At 44.4% G+C, this 6,751-nt stretch overlaps 1 long non-coding RNA gene across 1 annotated transcript; it reads right to left on the minus strand.

Annotated features, from left to right (window-relative positions):
* Nucleotides 1-386: 386 nt before the first annotated feature.
* LOC112577592 (uncharacterized) lies at nt 387-5,680 on the minus strand. Its single transcript, NR_172881.1, has 2 exons — nt 5,535-5,680; nt 387-1,012 (listed from the first exon to the last, which is right to left on the minus strand). It is a non-coding gene; the product is annotated as an uncharacterized LOC112577592 (long non-coding RNA).
* Between the last annotated feature and the right edge of the window lie 1,071 nt (nt 5,681-6,751).

Below are 6,751 nucleotides of genomic sequence, written 5' to 3' on the forward strand. Positions count from 1 at the left end.
CCCTGTGTCCCACCTTCTCCCTTCCTCTCAGGCGGGGGGCTCTTCAGCAACTCGTGCCGGGGGGTCTCTGCAGCCATCTGGGAGGGGCTGTGGGAGAGCCACGCAGCTCTGACAAAACAGATGTGCTTCCCAAGTGTTCCCGTCTTACCCCTCCGTGAGGGTTATTTGTTTTGCTTTTCATTTAAAGCCGAGAATTTTATGTATTTCTTTTTGTCTGATTCAACTTTCATTTACTAAGATGGACCTGCTAAAAGACCTAAATATTAGTAAATCATATAAAGCATGGATGAGATAACAGGGTGTGGGTGTGTGTATGGGGGTGTGCAAGTGTGTGCGTGAGTGTGTGTGTGAATTTAGGAGTACATCAATTAATACTTTTCAAAATAAGCTTTCCATATATCATTTAATCCTCACCAAAAGCCCCAAAAGAAAACATTATTACCCTAATAATACAGAAGGTAAACTGAGGCTCCAAGATACTAAATAACATGCCACAGATCACAAAGGTGGTAGACACTGTATCCAGGGCCCAGGCTCTGACAGTCAGATTCCAGAGCCTGTGGATTTTCTGCCACAGCACATTCCACTGGCTCGCCAGACGCGGACCTTTTCCCTCCAGAAACACCGTCCAGGGAGTGTGTTGGCATCTCTACTGTCTCTTCCCGTCACCATCTGCATCACCAGCCTATAGATCTCACATTCATCCAAGCACTCACTACTGACACCACAGGAATGGCCAATCCTTGACATCCAGGGAGCAGCTTGGACCACACGGGTGAAGCAGTGGGGTCGGGCTCCACAGGGATCCGATGGTCTTCTGTGCTTAGTACCTACAGCCAATTCTATAGACGTAGCTTGCAAGGCCCATGCATCAGTTTCCAGGATCACGCGCCCATTTTGTAGCTGGAATAATGTCCTAGCTCCCGTCAGCAATTGACGGCTCACACAGAGAGGTATGACTAAACCCGGCAGCCATTCATTGTTTAGTCTACCCATTTGGCAACATTTTCTCCTGCAAGAGCAAAAAGACCATCTTAGGTGTGTGTTCAAGTCACTGACACTGAGAAAAATCGTCCCTGTGAAAGCTCTGGGGCGCCCTGAGATTCCATCCATCTGGAGCAAAAGCACCACATTTGCAGATGCCTGTGGTTTGCCTAATTACATTTTCACAAACCCTTGGAAAGCAATGAGTGCTTCAGCTGCACCACGCGTGTGGCTTAATGAGGTTTCGGAACCCTATATTATGAAATTGTCACAGGTTATTTGTCAGAAGGCAGCTGCCTTGGAATATAGCAGACTTAAAATTTGGGGTCCCCCACATTTTCATAACAATTCTTTGTTAATTACAAAAATACTACATAATTCCAATTACATGCAACAAGTATTTTCAGAGCATTCATTTCAAACACACCTGAGTTTTCAGATTTTTTGTGGAAATCCGAGCATTTGTTGTTCCTCTGAGCATCCTTGAGGGATTGAAAAGTGACAAAAAGAAATAACGGTTTCCTAATAAACGAGAGACCTTGAAATGAATTAATCTATATTGATTTCTTTTCCTTGTAGCTGTATTAACTGCTCTATACTCTAATGCTTACCCTTCTCACAAATTGTTTTTATCCTACTCTTTGCATTGATTATTTTTGAAGTGTATTTAATGTAGGCACTATCATCACTTGGTTATTATGGGATTGATAATGTCATGAGTGGATTATTCTTGCCCTTTCCTGGTAGGTTATTTCCCCTCCCTTATTTCTCTTTCTGGCTCCTTGCTTTATAATCCTGCTGTTGCTAATTATGAATTCTCTACACCAACTGGAGCATAACCACAGCCCCTGCAGTCCCCACTTAGGCCTAATAACACCCCTCTTGCCGAGTGGGCCTCCAGTCACCTGGAGCCACCAGGTCTCATTTAGAGCCTGGGCTCAGCCTCTCCAGGTGTCAGGAACTCTCACCCGTAGCAAGTGAGGCCCAGAAAGCAACTTCTATCATGCTGTGTCCAAAGGCCAAATGGCCCGGGGGTTAGCGAATGCTCATTATTTAGAGAGCTTCTCGGTCTTTGGGGGAGAGGTATGTGATTTTCCAAATTCCTTCTTTGTCCTGCCCTAGGGAGAACACAGCCTGCACGCTAGAAAACAATGAAATTAATTTATTATTCATGTGCACTGTACAGAATTTGGAAAATGCAGAAAAATAAACACATACACAAAATATTTGTAACGACATGAACCAGAGATAACCCCAGGCTTTAACCTCTGTATATATGTCTATGTATATTTAATGAAAAAGGATTATATCATTATACTGTTTTGTTGGCTGATTTTTAAAGTTAACAACATATTATTAATATTTTCATATGCCATGGAACATTATGCCAGATGACTGCTAAATAGTACACTGTATAACTATATATCATTATATGTAATACTTAACCAATCTAACGTGGCCTCTTTAGTATGATTTTTTTTTACTGCAAATTATGTGTAATATAAAAAGGTTTCCAAGGATACTTGTGCATATTTAGTTATTTCCTTATTTATCATATAAATATTTTATAGATCATATTTATACGATAATTTTCTAGAATTGGAATTGCTGCATCAGAAAGTAAGTTTTAAAGTGAGGGCTCTCTTCTTGACCTGGTTCTACCAGTTCTGCTCCTGGTGGCTAGGTTCTCCTAGTGCTATTTTCTGCTACTCACACCACGTTGAGCAGAGTTGTATGGAGGTGCCTTTAGAAACGCAGGTTCTGGGCCGCTCACCCCCATTTCTGGAGCTGCAGCCAAAAGGTCTGCATAGCTGATCTCCACGGCAATGCTTAGGAGCAGGGAAGTTCATGAACCACCCAAGCTTTCATGGTCCATAACCCTGTTGAGTTAAATATGTACCTGGGGTTTGTTTTAGTGTCAGGTATGGTAAGACGGCAGACGCAGAAATGACGGCTGTGAGGAAGTTTGCACTCACAGATCCCCACAGGCACGGGGCATTTTAAGCCCCACCATGCCAGAAAGACCAGGGATGGTCAGGAAACAAGGATGTGGGCACCGTGTGGCTGGGACCTTTACTGGGATTTACGAGGGAAGGAATAAGCCAGGCAGGGTAAGTAAGCTGAGTAGACTTAGTATTGGATACTTTAAATTATTCGAGCGGCCCAGTGCTATAAAGGTGGTCTCTAGTTGGCAGGTCCCTGGCCCTGGGGTGACATAGGGCAGGGGGTGTATTGGTTTGGTGAGTGAGAGTTTGATGAAAGGGTTGGTTGAGGGTGTGAGCTCTAGACTGGTTGGTTTATCAAAAGCATGCTCACAGGGGAATTGTTTGCTATTTCTAGGAATTAGGTAGCCCTGGAAGGGACAGTCTCTCCAGCATCAAAGCCCCAAATGCCAGAGTATCAAGAATACAGAAAATAAGAAAATAGAGTTTAACCCTCTATCTACACTGAGCCTCTGCTCAGAACTCCCAAGGCCACTGCACCATTTCCTCTTTTGATGACAGCTTCCTTTGGAAATAGGTATTCCCTAGAATTGAATTAGAATTTTGCCAGCCTCTCCTGCCTGATTACAGCTCCTCACTCCCAGAACTCCTAGCAGCTGGCACTAGACTCAGCTGCCTGTAACTCGCCCCTGAAGCCTCCTGACACCCAGAATGAGTTCCTATCAGAGTCAGCCTACAGCTTACAGAAGAATAGCTATGACTGCTGAATTTGCTTCTGTGTTGGTTCACCTAACACTAGGCACAAAAAAGCTAAAACACCCAAGATCAAAACAGGTTTCCTTACTTGCAGCACCCTCTATGTACAGGTCACCTGGGGGAGAGGCTGAAATTCTTGGCAAGATCCTATTTATGAATTAGCTGTGGATCTCAAATGCCCCTGCATCCATATAACTTCATTAGTATGGAATCAAAAATTGCTTCTAATTATGGAATGAATGTTTTTTAAACGAGAGAAGAAAATGAGTTTTTATCACAATCCTTGTTTTTTCTCTTTTGTAGGGAAAATCTAAAATTGGATCAAAAAGAAACAGAACTGTGAGCTTCCGACAGTTCTTCTTGTGATTGGATTACTAAATATTATTATTTCTATTCATAGTTTACATTGCTGCTGATAGAGCTGTTATTACCGGAAAACAAAAACACAACAAAAACCCTTTGAAATCTTCTTCGGCAAATTCTCTCAATAGGTAGGCGTCTTCCTATCTACTCTCAATTCTTTTCTGAGAGGTCGGCTAATTTTACCTTTTAAAATCATTGATATTTAAATTCACTGTTTTTTTTTTTTTAATGTTTATCTACTTGCCAAGAATTGTCCCATCTTTTCTTGAGCACATCAGTAAAAATGTTCTTCTCTATTGTTGAGGCAGCAACTGTTCTCTGTAGTTGGAAATTACCCCACTGGGGAGATAGGGGCACCCTCCCCTTCATGGGCAGCCCCTGCGTTTTATCTTTCTGTTTGTGAGCTGTGTTTGTTCCCGCATCACCCGACTCCCCTCCCATCTGTGTGCTGGAGCTCAAAGTTCCCTGTGTAATCAGCCTTCCCAAGTGACCCCGTGCCCTTCCCAAGCACGGCAGCCCCCGACCTGGGGGAGACGTCAGTACCATGGCTCCAGGGAGCGTGCGTGCTGCTCATCAACCCTCTCGGAGCTGGCAACTCAACCACTTGCCCCTTTGTGAACAGGCAACAGGTGACCAGGCCCCAGCAGCCCGTGGGGCCTTGATAGAGCTCTTCTCACTGTTCACTGATGTCTCACTGCGTGCCAGGCTGTCCTGGAGTTTCGTTGATGTATACCACATAGGCACCGTTTGTCTTTCCAAGGCCCTAGAAATCTGCTTGTTCTGTTCCAGCCCTGCGGGCCAGGCGCTGGGCTGGAGCCATCTCTGTGGCTCCCTTCCCACCACTGCATGTAAATCAGGGCATCCAAGGAGCAACAGAGACCGTTTTAAGCAGTCTCTGGAAGCTGGGTTTTGATGTAGTAATGTCCTCGTCAGAGATCAGCTTCTCTTGTCCTTTTGTACACAGGTGAAAAATTCTAAGAACAGTAGCCCCAAGAAAGCTTTTCTTTCTCCCTGCCCCTGCCAATATTCTCCCTGGATCGCTGGTGTTTCTTCTGAGCCCGACGCCGCACACTGGGGCCGCCCCTGCCGGCTTGCTCTGTTCCTTTGATGGCCACATGAATGTAGATTCCTGTCTATTTCAGCTGAGCTCTCTCTACAGACTTTTCTAAAATGTTAAATGCTGAACTCTAGCCAGCATGATGCCGTTTCATTTTGCTTCAGCCCAGACCCAAAATACTAAAGCTCCTACAAAGACATTCAGACTGTGTTTCAGAAAGGAGAAAAATAAATACAAGTTTTAGAACACTTTGCAGAAGTGAAAGTTAGATCTTTGCAAAGTCAGTATTGACCTGTGTTTAGAATGGGTTGAAAGATAATACAAACTGGATTCAACTACTGAAAATGTTACAAAAAGTCTCAGACATGCCATTATTCAGAGTTTCTAAAACGGCACGGATAGGGCTTTTATTAGGATTTCTCCCCACTTACAAAACGTGTATGGTCATGCCAGAAGGAAAAACGTGAGAGCAGGATCACATCTTCTATCCGATGCGACCGTCTCTTTCTTTACAATTATCTTCATATTTGGCTCTGTGAACACCGACAGCAATCATGTCAGCTGCTTGTTCTGCAGTGAAAAATGTTCTGCATGGGTTTCAGTTGTAAACAGGTCATCCATCTCCCACGTGGTCAGAAGGGGGTGTTCTCCCAAATTTGTACAAGGCTTGTTTCTCTGTTTCCTCTGAAAGAATTTACATGCTCAGAGAAATCTCTCTGGCTCATCTGCTGCATGTATGGAAATGCGTGCGCATGGAAACAGAACATATATTATCCAAGCAGATTGTGCTAAAACTAAGTGATATTCGGGGACCTGTGCTCAGGCAGGAAGGGAGTAGAACGCCCTTCATGGGGTTGAGGGTTTGTTGTAACATTTTGTTTCCTATTCTATGGTTTGGGAAAAAGAATGGGCAAAAACGGATTACAGGAGGAAGCCTGCTTTTCTGGAGCTCACTTGTTTGTTGCCTTGCAATGCAGAATAACTTTCGTTTGTTTGGGGAAGTGGGAACCAAAGGCTGGAAACCTGGCTTTTGCAGGCCCCTTTTGAAACGTGGAAGGGCTCTTCAACTTCTGAAGGTTTAGGAGGGGGCATTCTTGTCTTTACCACCCAACCAGGCTGGGCTGTAGGTGTTTTTTGATCTGACATCCTTATTTCTTTATATTTTGTTTGGACTCTGGGCTCAGTAGTGCTCTGCTGAGGACATTCGTATCCATGTATCCAGGAAGTAGAGCAGTTGCATTTTGAACAAAGGGCTTGAATACAAAACAAAACACCTATTTTTGGACAGGTCAGGTGGCTCACACCTGTAATCTCAGCACTTTGAGAGACAGAGGCAGGAGGATCCCCTCACCCCAAGAGTTTGAGACTAGCCTGGGCAAAAAATTTTAAAACATTAGCCAGTTGTGATGGCGCATGCCTTGTAGTACCAGCTACTTGGGAGGCTGAGGTGGGAGGATTGGTTTAGGAGGATTGGGAGGTTGAGGCTGCAGTCCCAGCGACTTGGGAGGCTGAGGTGGGAGGATTGGTTTAGGAGGATTGGGAGGTTGAGGCTGCAGTGAGCTGCGATTGCACCACTGCACTCCAGCCAGGGTGACAGAACGAGACTCTGTTTCAAACACCCCAAAACCACGTATTTTCTAAAACTATG

The sequence above is a fragment of the Homo sapiens genome, chromosome 18 (genome assembly GCF_000001405.40).
Source record: "Homo sapiens chromosome 18, GRCh38.p14 Primary Assembly".
NCBI lineage: Eukaryota > Metazoa > Chordata > Mammalia > Primates > Hominidae > Homo > Homo sapiens.